At 35.9% G+C, this 26,135-nt stretch overlaps 1 long non-coding RNA gene across 1 annotated transcript in view; it reads right to left on the bottom strand.

Annotated features, from left to right (window-relative positions):
* The window catches only part of LOC124902426 (uncharacterized), a 46,727-nt gene extending 25,087 nt beyond the window's left edge, over positions 1-21,640 (bottom strand). The window contains exon 1 of the long non-coding RNA XR_007062146.1: positions 21,574-21,640. This is a non-coding gene — a long non-coding RNA (uncharacterized LOC124902426). The remainder of the gene's footprint in view (positions 1-21,573) is intronic.
* Between the last annotated feature and the right edge of the window lie 4,495 nt (positions 21,641-26,135).

The following is a 26,135-nucleotide window of genomic DNA, read 5'->3' as shown; positions in this document are numbered from 1 at the left end:
TTACTTGTTGAATTTGTGTTTTTTTACTTACTTATATGTTTGATTTCTAGGCCACACATGAAGGATGTTTCTTCTGGGCATCCTGATTTCATGCAGATATCTTTGTCCATTCTTTTCACATTGACTGGACTCCAGGGTTTGTCTCCTTGCTCTTGTGAGGAACTGAGTGCACTAAAGTTGCACTTAATAGAATAACAATTTGGGGGGAAAGATCTTGAGTTCAAACTTAGACATATTACATGTCAGTGTTTATAAGACAACCAAAGAGGAACAAGTAGGTGCTTCAATGTGCAGCTGAGCAAGAGGTAAGCATGAAAATAGTATGTGAAGCCTTGGCTGTGCATGATACTCATTATAAGTGTTTAAAGTTAAAAAAGAAGACTTAGGAGAGAGGCCAAGTCTCCTACACCAAAAGCCAAGTGAAAAGACTTCTACAAACATAAAATCCTTTGTATATTCCACACAGGATTTTATAACCACTTGAACCAATACTTAAAAGTAAAGGGCTTTCATATAAAAAATATGAAACTTCTGCTTCTATTGAAAAAGCAAAGTTTAGGCATCAAAGGGTTCACATTCAAAGCAGACATGAGCTAGAATTGAGTGAGCCCATCTGCTTTGGACAAGCCATGTGTTCTCTCACCTAGACTGGATCCCTCATCTACATTACCTGTCTTGCATCTGTATATTTCAGCTTGACCAAAGGTAATTATGGCTATTTCATGTTATTTTTGAAGAGGACATAGACTTTAATGACAGTGGAATAGGAAAAATAACAGACAAACAAAAACCACCTTAATGGGATATTGATGGATTGTCCCAAGACTAGAAGCAGAGATGGGGTTTTATTTCTGATAGGGGTGAGAATTTTAGAAGGTGGGGTTTCCACCCATTTACATACAAGGACCCTCATGGCGGAATGACTTCAGAGTGATTTTCCACAGCTTGTGTGAACTCTGAAAAAGATGCCTGATATTGGTCCAGAGGAAATAAAGCATTCAGACTTATAAACAGAAAATACAGACCAGGCCAAGTAACACTAAGGATATAAATCTTTAAGGTGCCTGTTTGTGCCAAGGGAGAAGAGAGTTCCACCCATGAGTTAGGAATTGCATTGGGCCCACTCATATCACATATTCCCCAAAGAGAGATTTAAACAAATTTATGGTTCAAGGGTTTTGAGGGGAAAAAACAAGACAAAACAAAAGACTATCACTTGCGAAACCTTCAGAGGGCGAAAGAACATCAAAAGAAAATTAGGTTATGGGAGAACATCAGCATGAAGCAAACGTTCAGGGAAGAGTATAAGTACTTAGAACATTTTGCTGATGAAGAACTATGGATTTGAAATAAGCACAATGGAAATATTTCAGGAGATGGGAACAGGTGAAACGGGGCAAGAAATGGGTTCACATAGAACCTTCTAGGAATCAAAATGAGAAAGCTATGGAATGATCTGGGAGTTTATTAATGCTTGTGGCACTATAGATGGGAATAAAAGGCGTAATGAGATTTGTCATAGCAAACTCAAGACCATGATTGTTGGAGAGGAATGGTGATGGGAAACTGGGTTGTCCTCTTATCCATATAATGGAGTTGAGGATGCCTGGGGAGCAAATCATTTCTCTGAATGGGATCCTGTCAGACAATAGTGAATGTAAGAAGCACAGTTTAATTTCAATGCCTTGAGCTTGCTCATTGATCTGTTAGGAGCGGGACAGTCTTACCAAGCAAGCAAGAGGGCAGAGGTGATTAGGACTATTGAAATATAAAAATTCAATAAACAAAACAAAAAAAGGTATTTATTAATATGATTTAGAATTTTTTTCCTTAAATTTTGAATCTTTACATGGTTAGATAATACCATATATCAGAATATTTTATGAAGATCAATTAACATCAAGACATTTCCTGGTTTTTTAAACCAAGATTATAAACAAATTTTTCAGGCATTGAGGCAGCAAAAAGACACATTCCTACAACAGAGAAAAATTTAGACTGACCTCAGCCTTCTCGAAAGCAAATTTAATGGCAGAATAAAATTAAGCTATTGCCACAGAATTCCTGAAGTAAAAAATTGGTGACTCAAAGATTATATCCAGGTAGATTGTCGTTAATTATAAAGGCAACAGGCAGGTATTCTTAAGCTTTGAAAAACTTAGGAAATGCAGCATCCATGATTTTTTCTTTGAAAATGCTATTCAACAGTAAATTTCAACAACTTAAGAAATAATGTAAATAATGGAACTTAATTAAATGAAAAAGCTTCTGCACAGCAAAAGAAATAATCAACAGAGTAACAGACAACTGACAGAATGGCAGAAAATATTTGCAAACTATGCTTCTGACAAAGAACTAATATCCAGAATCTCCAAGGAATTCATACAACTCAACAAGAAGAAAACAAACAACTCCATTAAAAAGTGGGCAAAAGGCATGAACAGGCATTTCTCAAAAGAAGACATACATGCAGCCAACAATCATATGAAAATGTACTCAACACCACTAATCATCAGAGAAATGCAAATCAAAACCACAATGAGATACCATCTCACAGCAGTCAGAATGGCTACTATTAAAAGTAAAAAAAAAAAAAAAATTGTTGGAGACGATGCAGGGAAAAGAGAATATTTATATGCTCCTGGTGGGAATGCAAATAAATACAACCTCTATGAAAAAACAGTAAGGAGATTTCTTAAAGAGCTAAAAAAAAAAAACTACAATTCAATCCAACAATCCTACTACTAAGTATCTACTCAAAGGAAAAGAAATTGTCATATCAAACAGATACCTGCACTCATATTTATTGCATAACTATTCACAATAGTAAAGTTATAGAATCAACCTAAGTGTCCATTAATGGATGATTGGATAAAGGAAATGTTATATATATATATATATATTACATAGCCATAAAAAGGTGAAATCATGTCTTTTACCACAACATGGATAGAGCTTGAGGCCATTATCGTAGGTGAAATAACTCAGAAACAAAAAAATCAAATACCACATATTCTCATTAATAAGTGGGAACTAAACAATGGGTACCCACAGACATAGAGGGATAATAGACATTGGACACTCCATAAGGGAGGAGGGTAGGAGACTCCATAAGGGAGGAGGGCGGGAGACTGGTGATGGTTGAAAAATTCCTATTGGTACAATGTTCACAATTCAGGTGAGGGGTACACTATCAGCCCAGACTTTACCACTATGCAATATATCAATGTACAAAAATTGCACTGTACCCCCTAAATCTATACAAATAACAAAAATTTTAAAAAGAAAAAAAGTTTAAAATGCCATAAGAAAGAAATAATCTAAATAAAAACTTCAGGAATGGAGGAGCTGACTTTGAAACCTGCTTAAACAGACTATAAAGACTATTTTTTTTATATTTAGTTTTTGGAACTGCTTTGAGAGAATAGATATATACTATTTTAATTTTTTTATATAAAATCCTTCTTACCAAGAGAAAAAAGAACAAGACTTGATCAGGCTGAAATATTTGATGAAGAACATTTTAAAATAAGTATAAATTTAAGAAACATCATGGAAAAAAACTTGCAAGTGTACTCTTTTTTTTCTTTAAAAGAACACAAAATCAGCAACAGTGAAATTCTGGGAAGACCCTGGAACCAGATAAAACAATCTTATTAAACATTGAATCATGGTTAAAAAGCAGTTACCCAGCAACCAAAGACCTCATCATTTCCTCCTAATCTTTCACAGTGAATTTTTTAACAACCTCATAAAACTAGGACAGACTGAAACATCATGGAAAGAGGTGGGAAATAAAGAAGGCTCCAGGAAGGGAAAACTGAGTATTATTTCACTGAAAATTTCATCCAGATCCTTGCACAAGGTCAATCAATTCAGGCTACAAACACATGACATATTCTTATACTTCAATCATCTTAATAGCAGGCAATAGGAGACAAACAAATGACACACAAGCTTTAAAGTCTACAATTAACAACAGAGGATCACGAAATGCTGGGACAGGATTTCTGAGACTCCATTCTCTTCATTTAACAGATGAGCAAACCGATCCAGGAAGGAGAAGTGGCAGGCCTACAGCCCGCTATCTATGAAGTAGGCACCTGGGTCTCACTCCTGGGTCACTGTTCTTTCTAGCAACCATTCTGTCTCATATGGGATACCGGTGTTTTCAAATAGCAACAAATGTCATTAAGTAGTTACTAACTATTCAAATTTGGCTATTGATATCAGTAACTCTGCTTTTCCTAAGAGATACAAAAATTTAATAACATTCCAGCGAAAGGCAGCTTCCGCTTTAAAGTAGTTCTAGACTATGTTTATTACTGAAGCTTTATAAGTCACTTTTTATTGATGACCACAAACATGTTGTCCACTGCTTTCAGGTCAATTTGACAATAATTCCTCAGTGTAAATACCCTGGCAATCAAAATTGGAAGCACATGTGACTTGTCTTCAGTGTGAATACCTGTATAGGAAATCAAACATAGTTAAGTAAGGGGATGTAGAGCTCCACCAATTTCTAGGATTGCCATGCCCATCAAAATATTGTCCCACCAACAAAATCACTGTGTGTATAAAATACCACCAAGTAACTATCTTGGTTAGTTTGGGCTGCCATAATGAAATGCCATAGACTAGGTGAGTTAAACAACAAATATTTATTTCTCACAGCTCTGAAGTCTAGAAGTCTGAGATCAGGGTACCATCATGGTCAGTTTCTTGGTGAGGGGCATCTTCCTGGTTATGCCCTTACATGGCCTTCCTTGGTGCATGCACTAAGAGAGAGATCTCAAGTCTCTTCTTTTGTTCATAGAGGTATTAATCCCATTGTGGAGACCCCATCCTCATGAACTCATCTAAACCTAATTACTTCCCAAAGGCCCCACCTCCTAAAACCATCAGACTTCCCAAAGGCCCCACCTCCTAATACCATCAGATTGAGGATTAATACCATGTGGATTTGGGGGAAGGGGGACACAAATATTTAGTCCATAGAAGTAACCTACTTATCTTATAATTTATTTTAAAAATCCTTAGGATTAAATTGACATGAATAATTTTTATGAACACTAGAATAATCTCTCCATTTTCAATTAATTAAACTTGCTAGGAGATCCTCCTGAGTAAAAAGTGGTTTGGTATATAGAAAAGAAGAAAAAAATGTTCTAAGCATGGGATATGATTTAAGAGAAATCTTGAAGTTGGAAGAGGGCAGGACAAAATATCATTACTCTATACCTGGGATTGTGCTAAATGCTTTTTATGGATTATTTAATTGTAATTAAAACCCCTATAAAATAGATTCTTTTATTACCACTATTTTACAGTGAGGAAATTTAAGATTGGAAAATTTGAATCACACGCCTAAGGTAAATCTAACAATTAGCAGAGCAAGGACTTATAGCCAAACCTTTGGATTCCAGAATAAGGCTTTTAAACACCACACTCTACAGCGTCTCTCAGATTACCATGATGAAAAAAATTTCATCTTGAGACTTTGTAATAAGGTTTTTGAAAAGATTAGCTTCATATATGTTTTAACTCAGTATTCAACATGCTGGGTTTACATTTCAAAAAATTTTAATGAACAATAAATACATTTATAAAGTTAATAATTCAATTCATCATGATTTCCTGAAGACTTTTTTTTTTTATTTCCTGAAGACTTTTAAAGATGCTATTGAATCTTTAACAATTAAGTGAGTACCAAGGGAAGAGAACATATGTTTCTTTTAGCTCTCATTTATTAATATGGCCCATTTAGGACCTGACATAGTATAAAGTTCAGCTTACATATACCTATCAGTTAATAAAAATCTGCAATGGGAAAACTATTTAACTATTTAACTAAATCAAGAGCATAGAATTATCTTAGACAGATAACAGAATTTAATGTAAATCCCGAATTTCTGTGTGTTATCTTGAATTTCATTTTGAATTGAAGAAAGCTTAAATGTGAAAAAATAAGAATGCCGTTTTTTAAATCTTTTATGAAAATATTCAATCTGCAAATACAATTTTGCCATATTCTACCTATGTACATAAATAACAATCAGGAGCACTGAAAAACAAAAAAGTATACACCAATCATTTTGAGAAGTACAGAGCAAAAGAGAAATCAGCTACCAAGTCATGAAAAGACATGGAGGAACCTTAAATGCTTATTACTGAGTGAAATAAACCAGTCTGAAAAGGCTACGATTACTGTATGGTTTTAAATATATGACATTATGGATAAAGCAAAACTATGGATCCAGTAAAAAGATCAGTGGTTGCCAGTGGATGGGAGAGAGATGGATGAATAGACAGGAATAAGGATTTTTAGGATAATAAAACTATTTATATAATATTATAATGATGTACACATGATATATGTATCCAAACTCATGGAATGAACCCGCGAGTGAACCCCAGTGTAAACTATGGACTTTGGAAGATAATGATATGCTAATGTAAGTTTATGAATTGTAAAAAATACAACATCTGGTGAGAGATGTTAATGGGAGAAACTATGTATGTGTGGAGGCAGGGAGTATATGAAAAAGTCTCTGTGCCTTCTGCTCAATATTGCTGTAAACCTAAAACTGCGCTAAAAATAAAGTTTATTTTAATGCGTTGGAAACTTTATTTTTTTAGAAATAAATTAAAGGTGAGAATCGTATAACACAATTTTTAGTATATATGAGCCAATTATGTTCAGTTTCTCAGAAAGAAAGCCTCGACAAGTAGTCATTCAAAAACATAATATTGTACACATCTTTCTTTTTTCTGCCTATATTGTAGCACCTCATAACAATCCCCCTGACAAACTAAAAAATTAAAAAATCTCAATTGTCTTGTCTTAGAGCAGCCACAACCTTAAAAAGGTGGCAAATTGAGCTTATTTTCTATTCACACCTAAAATGTTTTCACTGATATCTGGAATACACTCCTCATTCGCTGAAAATCTTAGCTCCTAGCTTACTGCACCTCTCCCGGGTATTACTTCCATTTAATTTTTGGTAACTGCTATGGTTTGGATATCTGAACCTTCCAAATCTCATGTTGAAATTTGATGCACTGTGTTGGAGATGGGGCCTAGTGGGAGGTGTTCGAATCATGGGAGCAGATCCCTCATGAATGTTTTGGTGCTGTTCTCACAATAGTGAGTTCTTGCTCTGTTAGTTTCCAGGAGATGTGACTGGTAAAAGGAGTGGGGCACTTCCCTCCTCTATCTCTTCCTTCCTCTTTTGCCACATGATGTCTGTTCTCCTAGAACTTCCACCATGAGTGGAAGCAGCTTGAAACCTTCACCAGAAGCAGATGCTGGCACTAGGTTTCCTGTACAGCCAACAGAAGTGTGAGCCAAATAAACCTCTTTTCTTTATAAATTACTCTGGCTCAGATACTCCTTTGCAGTAACACAAATAGACTAGGACAATGGCTTTCACATAGAGCTGTTCCTCAATATGCAAGAAGGATTGGTTCCAGGATCTTCCTGGAATACCAAAATCTGCAGATACTCAAGTCCCTTATATAAAATGACATGGTATTTGCAGATAGCCTATGAACATCCTTCAATATAATTTAAATCATCTTTAGATTACTGCAAGATAAAGCCTGTATAAATAGTTGTTATACCACACTGTCTAGAAAATAATTACAAGAAAAATTCTCTACATGTTTAGCACTGATGCATTCTTTTCTGAATATTTCCTATCTGTGGTTGGTTGAATCCACAGGTGCAAGACCCATGGGTATGGAGGGCTGACGGTGAACCTAGATGATTCAACTGAAAGCCTAGTCTCTCAGTTCCCTGACTGCCTCACTTCCAGTGATCCTTCATGGTTGTATACCTGCCCTTGTCTTTACCAATTACTGAAAATTCTCCAGAATCTCATTTTCAAGTGTCTTACTGTCCAACTCCAACTTTCTACCCGTCCAGGGTACTCCATCTAGTACTGTAACTTCACTGATCCTTCTGCACCATTGGTGCCTAAAATCTGATACTATCACTTGTCCATTAAATTTTATGATTAATAATTATCATCTCTTCTTTGCATTTGTCTCAACTTCCTTCTCTATCTTTGGAAGATTTTTACATATTGGGCAAAATCCCACCTAGGGATACATTATTCAGTTGTTGTTCCCAGTGCTCATGCAATGGAATATGGCTGGAGAAAAACACAAACCTCGGTGGCTGACGCCTGTAATCCCAGCACTTTGGGAGGCCGAGGCGGGTGGATCACGAGGTCAGGAGATTGAGACCATCGTGACTAACACGGTGAAACCCCACCTCTACTAAAAATACAAAAAAATAGCCGGGCGTGGTGGTGGGAGCCTGTAGTCCCAGCTACTAGGGAGGCTGAGGCAGGAGAAGGGCGTGAACCCGGGAGGCGGCGCTTGTAGTGAGCGGAGATCGCGCCACTGCACTCCAGTCTGGGCGACAGAGCGAGACTCTGTCTCAAAAAAAAAAAAAAAAAAGAAAAAAAAAGAAAAACACAAACTTGCTGAATACTGAAACATTAATGACTACAAATCCCAAGATGCCTCTTAAGCCAAGATGCCTGGTAACCATAATTTATTTCCCTACTCTATTCACATTTCTAGTTTCTAGATAACTATTTCAAACCTTCTCATATCAGTAATACTTTGTTTTCCATTCTTGCCCTCAACTCACAACTTATTTTCCTAATAAAACAGACGCATTCAGAAAGACAACTTCCACATGTTTCCACATCTAAAACTACCCATTTTCCAGCATCAGTACTCATATATCCTGCCTTCTTGCCTACTGTCCCTGGATAGAATAACAGATCACACTCCTATCTAAAGCTGGTTCTTCTGCTTGTGCTCTAGACCCCATCTGCTTTCTCAAATACGTCACATCACTCTATCTTTCCTCCTCTCTCCTCTCCTTTTCCCTTTCTCTCACTCCCACTCCTCTATCCTTTCCTGGGCCATTTCACTAACATGCAAGCATTCCCCATTTCTTTTCATTTTGTTATGATACCTTGTTCATAAATCTCATTAACAACATTTTTTCCATAGTTAGGTGTTTAGATAGCCACATATTTTGGAAGAAAGTATCTCTATTTCACTTATGTGGAGGTTTAAATGAACTGTTTGAAACTATAATGGAACAGGAGTTTTTGATATTTGAAAGTCTCTATCCCAAAAGGAGAAATTAATGAGGAACTGTATTTTATACAATTATGTCCTGGCCCTACCTTTTTATTACTACATCATGGCTGGAATGTAAGTTAAACAGTTGACTATTGCAAAAGCAAGGCAGTAGGAGAAATTGGGCAGTCTGCTGAAGTGTTCCCATATGTTTCCAAGAAGCAATGTTAACAGGGACAGCTCTTTTCTTCAAGTTAATAGGTACATCTCCTTTAATCTGAAGAGTATCATCAAGGAATGATTAGGATTCCAGCAACAAGGCAAGCAAGTTCCCTAAGATAACATCATAAGTTCATGCAGGCTAAGGGCAAACAATCAAAAATTGGTCAAGGATTTTCTTCTAATCATGCTTCCTTCAGTTAAGTTGTGATATTTGGAGGCAATTGGTCAAACAGATCATTTCCTGAAAAGTTATATCTATTTTTTGACAGAGCATTGATTGCTTTGCAACTCATATTAATTATGATGCCTTATGAACTCATTAACACCAATAGAGTTAATCTTTTATGGAAATGTTGAGAGAATCACCAAACAGCTCTGCTGAAACTCCAGAAATGCCTGAATTTCTTATGAGTTTCTTAATTATTTTGTGCTTTTTTATTATTTTTCCACATTTCTTTAAACGCAGGTTAAGTTTATCAGAAATGTGTGATCAACACGGAAATAAGAAGAGAACCATCTAAAGATGTGAACTGTTAGTAACATTAAGACATTGCCCCAAAACTATCTCTAAATATTTGCAGATTAACCTAGATCGAGTTGCTGTCTGAATACTATCACTTAAATAATTAATGAAAGCCCAATAATAACTCTCACATTTATAAAATGGCTTATGCCATTTCCTATTCAAAACTTTTGAAATAAATTTTATGTTGACTCGCTATTGCCATCAGGTTAAAGTCCAAACTCCTATATATAGTTTAAAATCATCTGGCCTTCATTTACTCCTCTCATTCTGTATCTTTCATTCTCCGACCCCAATTCCCCAAACCTAATGCTCCAAATAAATTGAACTCTTTTTTTATTCCCTAAAAATGCCATGTTCTCTCTCCTTTCTGAATCTTTGCATATTCTCCACTTGAAAAATGTTGCCAATTCATTTATCTAGCTATCTTTCAACTCACACGGGAGGTGTCCCCACCTCCCAGGAGTCTTCTCTGCTCCTCGAAGACTGTTGTATATATCCTTCCCACATTTATTCTAACATACTGCAGTTGCTAGATACCCTTCCCGCATTTTTCCTAATATACTATAATTCTCACCCGTAAAGTCCATATGCTCAGGGGTCTGTCATTCATCATTGTGGCCTTAATATCCAACACAACATTTTGTAGCAGATCTCAAAATATACAAACTATCACAAATGTCATTTGATTATGACAAATTTTTAAATTTTTATGCATCATATTTGTACATAAGGTACACGTGAAATTTTGTTATATGCACAGACTGTGTAATGATCAACTCAGAGTACTAGGGTGTCTATCAGCCAGGTAGTTATCATTTTGATGTGTTGGACACATTTCAGGTATGACAACATTTTTGTGAGTGAATGGAATAAATATTGTTTTCACCTCAGTTTACAAATGAAGAACCTGGGATTTGAGGAGGTGAAATAATTAGTCCAAGATAAGAAGATTAAAAAATGGTAACAGGAGTGGATTCTAGATCTTAGTATTATAAACCATACAATATTTTCATGTAAATGAAACTCAAATTTTAAGTTAACCATACTGTCCAGACATGAACTTTGAAAATATGAGTGGCAGATGTAAAAGTATGTATCAATTTCTGAAAGTTTATTGGTGATCCTCAAACATAAACTCTTATTCAGTGACATATATGTTTTAGCAAAGAAATTTGAATGAGATTGAAGCAACCCCAAACTGAAAAACCTCTTCATTCTAGAAAAGCTAATCCAATTGCTTCTCCTGAGTAGGTAAAACTTAGTATTGTGTCTATGAATCTGGTCTCTAAAGAGATTGAAAGTTCGAATATGAGAACTCTTAGACTGTGCCTTTCCTGGGCTATTAAAACCTCCTCTACTTTTGACATCAGATTTGAAGGAAAAGTATGTTGTTCTCTCTCAACCTTCCCTACCAAATATGCCTTCTGCCAAATTCTCCCATTTAATCAGCTAACCTCATTCTATTAAGAGAGGAGAAAGGGAAGTAAATGGTAAACAAATTAAAATATTACAAGCAACTTGCTTTCAAAGTCACAGAACTAGGTAAAACAAACAGGTTGAAAAGAGTTGACCACAACACTCTGTTCACACACTATTTCTTGATTTAAAATACAGTGATATTCATTAGCCAAAGACAGTGAAACGACTGGTTTCTGCTGAAAGTTGTGGGAGGATAGTAGATTTTTATCTCTTTTAAGCACTCTTTCTCCAACCTCGACCACTTTGCTGTGTAGATGAAATGTTCTGAATCAATATCGAAGATTCCAGGCGGCTCTGACATGAGCTGGAATGATAGCGAATCAGGTATGCAGAAGGAATGGAGCCTTCAGCTTCCATGTCAAATAATATGTTTTATGGATAACTCACCTGTTCCTGAGAAGCTGTGTAGGTATTCTAGGCATTGGATTTTGAATCCTGAAATTGAATGACTTATTAGGTCTTTATTACATAGCAGATGCTACAATGCTTCTCATGGCATTGTTTTCTTTTTATTTCATCAGTTTGGGTACATCAAATTGGGATGACTCAGGTGGCATGATTCCAATGACCCTTCTTGTAGGATCTGTTGGTGATCACAGGGAAGGAAGATCAGCAGGTACAGAAAGTTTTTTGAATTTGTGGCTGGGCTTTCTGGCCCCATAGACACCCACCATATAATAAAAGCCCTGATTTGGAATCCCAGCCTTTATTGCTTTCTTACATTAAAAAAAAACTGGTAGAATAGCAGGATAATCAATGTATAAAAATTACGTAATTTTTCACTTTCTTTAATAAATAAAAAAGTTCTCTACCTAAACGTGTTTTCAAAATTCTGCATGCCATATTGTCTTCTGAAATTCTCAAAAGTATTCGGTATGTTAAAAGTTCTATAAAAACTTTCAAAAAGGAAAGCTTTCTAATGTTGTGTAACCTAATCTTCTTCCTTTTACTCACTTAACACTACCTCTTATCATCCTGCGAGGACTTACTCAGGGGAGTGCTGACCCAGTCTAACCCTATTTTGGTATTTGCCTTTTACAGAACATTCTCATTCTCTCTTGCTGCTATTTCATTCTCCCCCAAAATGCAGAAGAGATGTCTATTTCCTCTTTCCTTGTGGTGGGACATGACGGCCTGTCTTACGATGGTGTTTTAGCTCTGGGTAGACAGAACAAAGAAAATGTCCCCAGACTGAAATGTATGCCTTTCTCAGACCCATTCCCCAAATCTTTATCCAGAATTGGTTTACAGATGGTAGTACCTATTGCTTGTATTTGTTTAATTGGTTTGGGGTTTTTTTGTTTGTTTCTTTTGCCCAGTAAGCTTTCTCATCTCCCTCCTCCTGGAAACAGAACCCGCTCTCCTCACCACAAAAACAGTTCTTGGCCCATCACGAGCCCTTCCTTTCTGGCAGCGTGATTGATTCAAGGGTGAGAACAGCACAAAACAAAGCCAATCAGGGTCCTTCTGTGAGATCAATATATGGACCCTGGGGAAGGGGACTGTCTTTCTTCAGGAGTGGTTAAAACTGGGAGGATGTGATCTCTGTGGTCAGCTGCTTCCCTAGCACAGGGAGAGCATCCAAGAAGCACAGCAGAAACAAGCAGTGAAGACAAGGAGAGTCTGGTCACGTTGGGTTCCGGGTTCTGATTCCTGAGATAAATGAGATCAAAACACTTTGATACTTTGAGAAACAGAAGTCTGTTTTCCAGCTCTGTGATCCATAAATAATTGCACTTATTGTCATTTAAATACAACGTATGATGAAGAGCACCCTTCTTTACCAGGATTAGATTAGCAGTGCACAACTTTGATTCAGAAACCTTGTGTACAGAATAAAACTTAAATATCAGTTACATCTTTGGTAAATTATTCCTATGCTATCCGTACTTTTATAATTAAAGAAGAATTTACTTTTCTAGGCTTCAAATCAGGCAAAAGTTTCTCATGATTTAAATAATTGTACAGTCTACTATTTGTATCTGGTAGTTTAAGGTAGTTGTTAAAATTTGTGGCTGTAATCAACCCACAAATAGCAAGGAATAAATATATTTCCTTGTAGAGACTTCAGCACTTTGGGTTTGGTGCATGTTGGCAAGGAGGGGACATGAGGAATAGAGTTCTTTACTCTGACTTTTTTACAATCTCTTTCATTAAACACCCTGTGCATGACATTAAAAAAAAAAGTGTCCCTTGCTCTCTGTGCCTTTCCTGTTTAGCAAAAGTCGTCCCCAAAGATGTTATCAACTGAACAGAATGTTTTGTGTCTGGAGCTTAAGTCAGTGAGTCAAACGTTGTTGCAATGAAAATCATGATGCCATGCTGACCCAAACTCCCTGAGCTCCACTCTGATAACATGTAAGAAGATAAGTGGCAGAATGCCACAATATGTGTGCTCATGGTCCTGAAGGATGTGCCCAGAGATGTGTTTAGTTCTTGGGTTCCTTCCCACATGGCACCTCCTGCTGCAATTTATTGACACCAGATGTTCTTTGTATCAGTAAGACTTGTAGCAATGTCTATTTAAAGTTAAATGGAGTAATTGAAGCCAGAGCATCATACTTTGAATGAAGTAAATCAAAGCACATCACAGTCATAAAAATGCAGACTAGGGAAAGCATGAATGAGAGAAATCCATTATTTTTTTTAAAAAGCCAGACTAATAGAGACCAAAAAATTCTGATTAAAATTTATCATCTCCCACAACACTGATAGAAATCAATTGGTAACTGGTCAGAGCTCTGACGCCACAATTAGTGAGCATGCCTCACTATATAAATTAGGCAGAAGTCTTTTGTCATAATGACCTCCTTCTCCACGACAGCTCATGGAAAACAATTCTGCATTTGGATCACTGTGGGGATCAGATGCAAAAACTCTGGCTAATGATAAGAGACATGGACCTGCAGTCTAATCATTTTACTAACATAATGCTTTAGACAGAAGTTTTAACAAGTCAAGGCTTAACTAATGATTGATGGTAGGAAATGGAGACATGTTTTAAAGTCTGATGTAAAAGAAAACTAAGACAGGAAGGACAGTGTGATTAGAATGGCTAAAAGCAGACCATGAGCATTAATAAATGTGAATTTTAATAGGTACAGGTCTGGCAGCCAGCAGACAGCAAGACCTTAGACTGACTGAAAAGAAACGAGAACTTTTAGTATTGCTCCTACTAAATTGAATAATCAGAGGCAATATAAATATACCAAATTATAACAGTAATTCAAAAGTACAGAAATCAAAGCTATGAAGATTAAAATTATAACATGTGAGCATGGCAGGATAATATTTTAAAGAAGTTGGCTGTTTTCCTTTTTAAATTTTTTGTTCCAGTAATTTCCCACTATCTCTTGCCTCATGCAGGCACAAACTTGGCTCTGTATTCATCACTTCAGTGAAAGGATATGTCAGAAAACAAAGCAGAAGCAGCCTAAAAGTCTCTGCCTTTTATGCTCCAAAAAACTTAAATTCCTTTGGAGAGATTTTAAGGATTTAGAATAAAATGTGTAGAAAAAAAAAAAAGAAAAAAAATGGTGTCTCATGCCCATTCCCATCCTGACTAGAAAAAGAACCCCCTGGGTGGAAAGGAAAATAGAAGAGATAGTAAGGAAGCAATGAAAAAGAGAAATTGTAGGGTCTTTGAGAGAGGGGCCCTGTGCTGTGATTCCAGAACAGGATTCTCGGAGTGTGGCTTAGGGAAGGCAGCAAATCATCAGTGACAGTAAAGAACATTTGTGTAATGGGTCCAGGCAGACGGAGTCCTGCACGGGCATGGAGAGTTTCTACTACCCAATTATGGTGTCAAAGATGTAGAATGATGTCCACGCCTGAAGCCTGGCTCTGCCATAGACCATAGATGCCAACAGCCTTGAAGAAGCCTTGAGGACAAGAACATGAGTGGTCTCAAGAAAGATCTGTATGGCTGAATAGCTAAGTACTGAGTAAGAAAGGTGGGTCTCTAGGATTCCCACTTGGATAGATGACTCATTGGCCAGATATGCCACAATGTCTCAGCACCACATAAGTCCTGGAATGTGGAAACAATCCCCTCACCAACATTTCTGCAGAAAGGTCTTGAAATGAAAATTACCTTGTGATATTGAAAAATAATTTGTTTGTACACTCAGGCTTGAGAACTCATTTATAAGTGTTTTAAAAGTATTTCAAATGAACTTGAAGGGAAACCTACCATACACAGAATGGAGAGAGGCATAAAAAATATTGGAGAAAAGGAAGAAATAGTTATTGTATGAAAAGAATATAACTACAGAAGTTAAGAGAAACATAGAAAATAAGTTGTTCCCTTCAGATAAAAAAAGAATTTCTGAAACAACATGCAAAAATTACAAACCATTAAGAAAGAGATGGCCAAATTTTTGTTCATTTAAACTCAAATTTAAAAAAACATATTTAAAGATAAGATGTAAGCTATTAATCAGGAGGCAATATTTATAAAATATATAGAATACAAAGATTAATTCCCAAAATATGCTAAAACACTCACACATACACATGCACAGTGAGGTATTATTTCACACACCCATGAGACTAGTTAAAATTATTAAGTCTGATAACATAAAGTTTAAAGGAGGACATGGGGAAAAGGAAACTCATGCTAGTGGAAGTTCAATTACATAGAACAATGTAGAGGACAATCTGCCAAAATCTAGTATAATTGAAAATTTTATATATATATTTCTTTTATGCAAGAAGTCCTGCTTTTCTTATTATAGTATTGTTTTTAATAGCAAAATATTGGAAATAAGCTAAATATCATCAATAGAGAAATGGGGTAAGGAAAATGTGGTAATTCTATGCAATAGTTATAGAGAAGAACTAGATTTCTATATCTCACAGTGGTTAGACTTATAAAACATGATTTTTCATTAAAAAAGCAAGTTGCAGAAAAATTGGTACAGTATAATACATTTATATGTATTTTAAAACACTGTGTTGGTCTTCACAATAAGGAACTAAAGGAACATTATCTGTGAGATTTTTACCTTAAAGAAACTTGACATTCAAATAGGCAGGGAGGAAGTCAAATTATCTTTGTTTGCAGATGACATGATCCTATATCTAGAAAACCCCATCGTCTCAGCCCAAAAGCTTCTTAAGCTGATAAGGAACTTCAGCAAAGTCTCAGGATACAAAATCAATGTAACAATGCAAAAATCACAAGCATTACTATACACCAATAATAGAGAAGCAGACAGCCAAATCAAGAATGAACTCCCATTCACAATTGCTACAAAGAGAAATACCTAGGAACACAGCTAAAAGAGAAGTGAAGGACCTCTTCAAGGAGAACTACAAACCACTGCTCAAGGAAATCAGGGAACACACAAACAAATGGAAAAACATTCCCTGTTCATGGATAGAAATAATCAATATTGTGAAAATGGCCATAATGCCTAAAGTAATTTATAGATTCAATGCTATTTCCATTAAACTACCATTGACATTTTAAAAACTATTTTAAAATTTATATGGAACTGAAAAGGAGCCCCTATAGCCAAGACAATCCTAAGCAAAAAGAACAAACCTGGAGGCATCATGCTACCTGACTTCAAACTATCCTACAAGGCTACAGTAACCAAAACAGCATGGTACTGGTACAAAAACAGACACATAGACCAAGGGAACAGAATAGAGAACTCAGAAATAAGATCACACATCTACAACCATCTGATCTTCGACAAACCTGACAAAAACAAGCAACAGGGAAAGGATTCCCTATTTAATAAATGGTGCTGGGAGAACTGGCTAGCCATATGCAGAAAATTGAAACTGGACCCCTTCATTACACTTTATACAAAAATTAACTCAAGGTAGATTAAAGACTTAAATGTAAAAACCAAAACTATAAAAACTCTAGAAGAAAATCTATGCAATTCCCTTCAGGACATAGGCATGGGCAAAGATTTCATGACAAAAACATCAAAAGCAATTGCAACAAAAGCAAAAATTGGCATGGGATCTAATTAAACTAAAGAACTTCTGCACAGCAAAAGAAACTATCATCAGAGTGAACACACATCCTACAGAACAGGAGAAAATTTTTGCAATCTATCCATCTGACATTTGTCTAATATCCAGAATCTACAAGAAATTTAAACAAATTTACATGAAAACAACAAACAATCCCATTAAAAAGTGGGTAAAGGACATGAACAGACACTTCTCAAAAGAAGACGTACATGCGACCAACAATCATATCAGAGAAAGTTCAACATCAGTAATCATTAGAGCAATGCACATCAAAACCATAATGAGATACCATCTCATGCCAGTCAAAATGGTGATTATTAAAACGTCAAGAAACAACAGATGTTAGTGAGGCTGCGGAGAAAAAGGAACACTTTTACACTGTTGGTGGGAATGTAAATTAGTTCAACTATTGTGGAAGACAGTGTGGGAATTCCTCAAAGATCTAGAACCAGAAATACCATTTGACCCAGCAATCCTATTACTGGGTATATGCCCAAAGGAGTGTAAATCATTCTATTATTAAAAAAAATAAAAATTACAAGAAGATACATGCAGGTATGTGTTCATTGCAGCACTATACACAATAGCAGAGACATGGAGTCAACCCAAATGCCCATCAATGATAGACTGGATAAAGAAAATGTGGTACATAAGCACCATGGAATACTATGCACCCATAAAAAGGAATGAGATCATGTCCTTTGCAAGGGACATGAATGGAGCTGGAAATCATTATTCTCAGCAAACTAATGCAGGAACAGAAAACCAAACACCACATGCTCTCACTTACAAGGGGGAGCTGAATAATGATAATACATGGACACAGGGAGAACAACACACATGAAGCAGCAAACTACTATGGCACATATTTACCTATGTAACAAACCTGCACATCCTGCACATGTAACCTTGAATGTAAAATTTCAAAAAAAGAAACTTGAAGAAAATATAATAAAACATTAATAAGGGTTAATTTTGGATAACAATTATTTTGTCTTTGTATTTTTTTTTTACATTTCATAGCAAAAGGAAATACAGGAAATAATAGAAATATGCTCTTTTCCATTCTGGAAAATGTTTAAGAGATAATGTTAAAATACAAGACCAAGTAATAACAGATATCAACTATCACCATTATTCACACAATTGTTACACTGGACCAACTTTTATACATTAAAATAAGACCTCTACTCTTAGGAGAGTAGAGGTAATTACAATTTATTAACTTCCTAGATCATTTTATTATCTTATTCTTTAAATACCTCAAAGCCCTGCTGGACTCCAAAATAAATACCACTTCAATTACCCTATTTAAATAAAAATATCTTTCTAGGTTTGAAGAAAAGTAACTCAAAGTAAGGACTTTTTTTCAACTTAGGAAAATATAAACTGCATTCCTTATATTCAGCATCAGATGTTGACTACTTACATCAAAAAAGACACTGAATGGATAAAGATAAAGCCATATGAACTAAAAAGAGTTAGCTTGCTTTGCAAGAGATAATAGTAGTAAGGTTTTCAAGGGTTGATGGTAGGTGGTGGAGAGGATTTGGGAGAACCTGGGAGAAAAGCAAATAAAAATGGTGGCTTAACAAGATGGTGGCAGTCGTGGACAGAAAAAAAATTTTACTCATATACATTCCTTGTTATAATTTTGGAAAATAAATATTTCAAAACTTCAGAACAATGATGGTGAACATAATAAAATCAATAATATACAATATGGTATCCCTCATCAGTTATTATAAACCTTTATTACAAACAGTTCTTACAAGCACATTATCAATAGGAAGAGCACCAGCTTAATGAAAACAGTTTCTGAAGAAAAAAGTGACATCAGAAAAGATGTCACTGAACATGAGAGAAATTTTCTTTCACAGAAATATATATTGCTAAGAGATAATCCAGGAAAGGAGAAGGGGATTACACATTCTTCAAATGCTCTAATACTGGATTTATAAGTTGCCCTGTAAACACAGGAGAGAACCTTTTTATCTTAACTTCACAAATTAATGCACCAGTAATTTGAGAAGCTGCCTAGTGGTATTAGTACAAAAAACTTTGATGTCCATTTCATGAAAGTTATCAAACGAATAGGCATAAAGTTGTTTATAATACTTCCTTTCTATCCTTTTAATGTTTATGGGATCTGAAGATATATCCCCTCTTTCATTTTTGATGTTGTTTATCTTCTCTCTCTCTCTTTTTTGACCTGCTAGCTAGATGTTTATAAATTTTATTTATCTTTTCAAATAATCAGTTTATAGATTCATTAATTTCCTTTATTGTTGTTCAAATTACTTTCACTTACCTCACACTGATTTCCTGAGTAATGGGATCCTAACCCAATAAGATCAATGAAATATAATGATAATTTTCTGAGATGCCACTGTGCTTAAACATGCTTAAATGTAGGCTGAGAATACTACTACCATTTGTCACGATATGCAAGAAGTGTGTGTTGACAAAAAAATCAATTCACAGAAACAGACTTTAAAGATTAAGAAAATCTGAATTGTGGTATATTTTGAGTCCAAATATAGCTGAGTTAATAATCTCCCTTTTGACTTTGTTACATGAACTAATAAATTCCCTATTTGATTAAGGCATTTTGGTTTGGGGTGTGTGTGTGTGTGTGTGTGTGACTTATGATGTAAAGAATCCTAACTCATACAACATACTTTGCAGTGTTAGAGATGAGGCGAGTCCAGTAATAATAACAAAAAGAACATCTGTAATAAGAACAAGTATCAGAAGCTATGACTTTGGGTCAAGATAGTAGACTAAGTTGATATAGGAATTCTTCCCATCTACTTGACCTACCTTTAACACACACTTACACTCTCCAAACATAAATAAATACTTGGTAAAGGTGTTTTAAATTTTAAAATAGATATATACACTCAAGAGCAAAAACGTTAAAACAGAAATTCAATTTATAAAAAGGCAAGTAGAAAATATAGTCATAAAGATGAATCTAATACATCCAAGATAATATACATTCTCAATATGATAGGGGCTGAGGTTTATTGTCTACATAAGAATAACAGTAGTAAGTAACAATTAAATAACATTTAATATATTACAGACACCACTCTAAGCACCTTATGTATATCAAATTATTTAATCCTCACAAAAACCTATGAGATATATACTATTATTATACCTCACCTTGAAGGAACTGGAGTAGGAAAGGGTAAATTAACTTACCCAAGATTACATAGCTGGTAACTGGCATAAAAAAGAAGAAAATCTCTGCCCAATCTGGAAGAAGAATTAAAAATTCTCTACCCCACTAGTCCTGGGGGAAAACAAGAGGCAATTGGCCTACATGAAACTGTGATCAATCAAAAACAGATTTATCTCTCCCCTCACCCCCAACCCCACCAAAAAAAATAAATAAAACCAGAATCCTTAGACTGCCATGAATAAGGGTGAGTAATGAGCTGTAGAAAGTCCCTGAGGTGAAAGACTAACATAGAGGCCAGGCTGTAGCAGCTATAAAAACCCATCTGTTAGGAAAGCTTCCACAGCTGAAGGTATGCTTAGTCTCCAAGAAAGACAACTTTCACAGAAGATGTGCTTAAGGCAAAAGTTACAAAACACAAAAAGCAGTCTATCATCAAGGAATATAATCCATAGGCCACTAAGGCGAGGAATTCACACCTGAGGAACTAGAGATAATAGGGCAATCTTAAAATGATTTTAAATATGTATATGTAAATTGTTCAACGAAACAAAATAATCTACTTTTTCAGCATCTCCAGTGTGCCCCTCATCATGTTCTACACGATAGGCTCAATTAAACTTACCAACTGTATGCGGTAAATAGGCAACATTATCATTAATTTAGTGTGAGGAATATGAGAGCTTAAGTAAGTGGTCCAGGGTCATACACCTTGTAGATGAAGAAGCCAGGATTCAATTTAGTCAGTCTAGCTCCAGAAGCAATTTTTGACTAAAGGGGCATATTAAAATCCTAATGGGACTCAAAGTCTATCACTGCTATGGTGTCTCAAATTGTCTAAAACCACCTAGTCTAATTTAATTCATAATTTAATTAATGTTCATCTGATTCATGTTAGAACTCTGAGGACATACTTATAAGAGAATGTAGTTACACTTAAAAAGGTTGCAGTATAAAACAGAGAAAAAGATAAGATGATAAATTTTAAAGTGCCATATATTGTGATAAATAATTCAGAAATGGATGCTTCTGAATTAATTTTATAACAAGTTATTCTTACCACAGGTTCTAGAAGAAGCTGGTAGTCCAAAATAAGAGGGAGGAACATGCTTGTGGAAGAAGAAAAGTGTGGCAATCTTTGCTATGAGCCACTATATGGAACCAAGAAAGGAAGAACAAAAATTACACTCTGATTGGTCAGAGTACTGAAGATAAAACCAAATATGTCAACTATAAGAAATGGCCCAATACTAGATAAGCCATTCCCAGAAACAAATTTTAGTTTGACATAAAGGCTATCTGCACATACAAAAAACAGGTACCATGGAGGAGGAAGGGAGGGAGAGAAAGAAAGAGGGAGGTGGGGGAGAGGGAAGAAGAAGGGAAGGGGGGGGAAGGGGGGAGGGAAGGGGATGGAAGGGGAGGGAAGGGGAGGGAAAGAAGGAAAGAAAGGAAATGAGGAAAGGAGGAAAGGAGGGGAGGGGAAGGGAGAGGAGGGAAGGGAAGGGAAGGTAAGGTAAGGTAAGGTAAGGTAAGGGAAGGGAAGGGAAAGGAAGGAAAGGGAAGGTCTTATAGAGAGAGAGATAGAATATAGAGGGCCTTTGGATTTAATGAAAGATGTTGGGTGCCATGTTAATGGCTTTTCTCATTGTCACACACAGAATAGTTTCATGATCAACCAATCTTTTTAAACTTTTTTTTCAAAGTGGAATAAAGCCCAGGATGAAGTAGCTTAGAAGCAGATAACAATTATCCAGAAGTGCTGGCTACCTCATCCACCACTTTAAGAGCTTAAAAGAATCATTATCTCAAGACACACTGCTAGGGAAGATCTTATCCTAGAGCCCAAAAGAACTTACAATTTATCATACAGGATGAAAGTCTGGGGTACTATTTTATCTTCTATTTAAGGGAGGGGAGAAACTTACGAAAGTGTATGGGATCGTATAGTTTGAAGTCGGGTAACGTGATGCCTCCAGATTTGTTCTTTTTGCTTAGTCTTGCTTTGGCTATGAGGGCTCTTTTTTAGTTCCATATCAATTTTGGGATTGTTTTTTCTAGTTCTGTGAAGAACAATGGTGGTATTTTGATGGAAATTGCATCTCAAGACACACTGCTAGGGAAGATTTCATCCTAGAGTCCCAAAGAACTTACAATTTATCCTAGATAATGAAAGTCTGGGGGTATTGTTTTATCTTCTCTTTAAGGGACATCATTTCTACAAGTCTGTTTTCTTCCACAGGAAAGGAGATTGGTGATTGTGATGTTCTGGTTCTGTTACTTTGCTCATTCTGCTCCAAAAGAGCTGAGTGAACAGTCTGATTGATGTTATTAGGGTAAAACAAATTAGTTGACTTTTCTTCCTTGTTGGATCACCTTCCACAAGTCTCAGACATTTTTCCATGGTAGGCTCTATCTCTCTACCAATAAGGAAAGCTGTCCCAGTTCATCTTTACCCTGTCTGTATGGGTAAATCTGGATAGATAAGCATATTTGCCCACAGACAAAAACCATATCCTCTAATATCAAGTTTATCCATAATAATAGTAATGGTATTTTGATATTCCATTTTCTGACTATGTTGTAATAGTCCTTAAATTAATTGAAATACAGGTGGGAAATAAGGCTGATGTTTATTATGTTCTGTCTCAGGGCTGCTTGATAGAGTATTTCACAAAAATGAAACGATCTATAATCTATGCTATATCTTACTTGGTAGCTACTTGCCATAGGTGTCTATCGAACACATGAAATGTGGCTAGTGCTACTGAAGAACTAAATGTTTAATTATATTTGGTTTTAATTAATTTAAATTTGGCTAGTGGCTACCATATTATATGGTAAATTTTAGATCCTAATACCTCTCTTTTATTCTCCTGCTTTTTCTTTCCCACCTTGAACCAGAGGGAATACGTGTAGCAGCCAATAGGGCTAACTAAATAATTCAATCTTTACATTAACTCAGTAAATGTATCAGGAAGGAGTGTGGGAGGTAAGGAGGGGAGAAATTGTTGAGAAAGTGTATGGGATTGCATAGTTTGAAGTCGGGTAACGTGATGCCTACAGATTCGTTCTTTGTGCTTAGCCTTGCTTTGGGTATGTGGGCTCTTTTTTAGTTCCATATGAATTTTAGGATTGTTTTTCTCTAGTCCTGTGAAGAATGATGGTGGTATTTTGATGGAAATTGCACCAAATTTGTAGGTTGCTTTTGGCAGTCTGGTCATTTTCACAATATTAATTCTACCCATCCATGAGCATGAGATGTGTTTCCATTTCTTTGCGTGATCTATAATTTCTTTCAGCAGTGCTTTGTAGATTTCCTTGTAGAGGGCTTTCACCTCCTTGGTTGGGTGTATTCCTAAAGATTTTTATTTATTTATTTATTTATTTATTTATTTGAGAAGGAGTCTCGCTCTGTGGCCCAGGCTGGAGTGCAGTGGCATGATCTCAACTCACTGCAACCTCTGCCTCCCGAGTTCAAGTGATTCTCCTACCTCAGCCTCCCGAATAGCTGGGATTACAGGCATGTGCCATCACGCTTGGCTAATTTTTGTATTTTTAGTAGAGACGGGGTTTCATCATGTTGGTCTCTTGAACTCCTGACCTCAAGTGATCCTTCCGTCTTGGCCTCTTAAAGTGCTGGGATTACAGGCGTGAGTCACCGTGCCTGGCCAGATTTTAATTTTGTTTTGCAGCTATTGTAAAACGGGTTGCGTTCTTGATTTGATTCTCAGAGTGGTTGCTGTTGATGTATAGCAGCACTGCTGATTTGTGCACATTGATTTTGTATCCTGACACTTAATTTATTTATCATATCTAGGAGATTTTTGGATGGGTCTTTAGGGTTCTCTAGGTATATGATCATATCATTGGCAAACAGTGACAGTTTGACTTCCTGCTTACCTATTTGGATGCCCTTTATTTCTTTCCCTTATCTGATTGCTCTGGCTAGGACTTCCACTACTATGTTGAATAGAAATGGTGAAAGTGGATATCCTTGTCTTGTTCCAGTTATCAGGAGAAATGCTTTCAACATTTTCCCATCCAGTATAATGTTGGCAGTCAGTTTGTCATTGGTGGCTTTTATTACCCTAAGGTATGTTCCTTCTATGTCAATTTTGCTGAGGGTTTTAATCATAAAGGGATGTTGGATTTTGTCAAATGATTTTTTTTCTGCGTCTATTAAGATGATCATGTGATTTTTGTTTTTAATTGTTTCTGTGGTGTATCACATTTATTGACTTGCATATATTAAACTATCCCTGTATCCCTGGTAGGAAACCCACTTGATCATGGTGGATTATCTTTTTGATATGCTGTTGGATTCAGTTAGCTAATATTTCGTTGAGGATTTTTGCATCTATGTTCATCAGGGATATTGGTCTGTAGTTTTTTTTTGTTGTTGTTGTTGATGTTATGTCCTCTCCTGTTTTTAGTATTAGGGAGATACCGGCTTCAAAGAATGATTTAGGGAGGATTCTCTCTTCCTCTATCTTTTAGAATAATTTCCATAGAATTGGTATCAATTCTTTATTTAATGTCTGATAGAATTCAGCTGTGAATCCATCTGGTCCTGGACATCTTTTGTTGCCAATTTTTTATTACCATTTTAGTATCACTGCTTATTATCGGGCAGTTCAGATTCTATTTCTTCCTGGTTTAATCTAGGAAGGTTGTATTTTTCCAGGAATTTATCCGTCTCCTCTAGGTTTTCTAGTTTGTGCGTGTAAAGGTGTTCATAGTAGCCTTGAATGATCTTTTGTATTTCTGTAGTATCAGTTGTAATATTTCTTGTTTCATTTCTAATTGAGCTTATTTGTATCTTCTCTATTCTTTTCTTGGTTAATCTCACTAATGGTCTATGAATTTTATCTTTTCAAAGAAACAGCTTTTTGTTCCATTTATGTTTTCTGTTTTTGTTTTTTGTTTTTTTTTTCAATTTCATTTAGTTCTGCTCTGATCTTTGTTATTTCTTTTCTTCTGCTGGCTGTGAGTTTTGTTTGTTCTTGTTTCTATAGTTCCTTGAGGTATGACCTTAGATTGTCTATTTGTGCTCTTTCAGACTTTTTGATATAGGCATTAATGCTATGAACTTTTCTCTTAGCACCACTCTTGTTGTATCCCAGAGGTTTTGATAGGTAATACCACTCTCATTATTCAGTTCAAAGAGTTTCTTAATATCCATCTTGATTTCATTGTTGATCCTTCAATCACTCAGGAGCAGATTATTTAATTTCCATGTATTTGCATGGTTTTGAGGGTTCCCTGAGGCAGCTGGGACTACAGGCACACACCACCATGTCTGGCTAATTGTTGTATTTTTAGTAGAGATGGGGTTTCACTATGTTAGCCAGGATGGTCTCAATCTCCTGACCTTGTGATCTGCCCACCTCGGCCTCCCAAATTGCTGGGATTACAGCCGTGAGCCACTGTGCCTGGCCTGCTTTCCAATTTTATTCCACTGTGGTCTGAGTGGGTACTATAAGGCTACAGTCACCAAAACAACATGGTACTGGTATAAAAATAGGCACATCTTTATACCAATGGAACCCAAGAGAATCCAGAAATAAAACCAAATACTTATAGCCAACTGACCTTTGACAAAGCAAACAAAAACATAAA

The sequence above is a fragment of the Homo sapiens genome, chromosome 10 (genome assembly GCF_000001405.40).
Source record: "Homo sapiens chromosome 10, GRCh38.p14 Primary Assembly".
NCBI classification, from domain to species: Eukaryota; Metazoa; Chordata; class Mammalia; order Primates; family Hominidae; genus Homo; species Homo sapiens.
The sequence above is the reverse complement of the archived record's forward strand: the minus strand, read 5'-3'. Positions and strand labels throughout refer to the sequence as shown.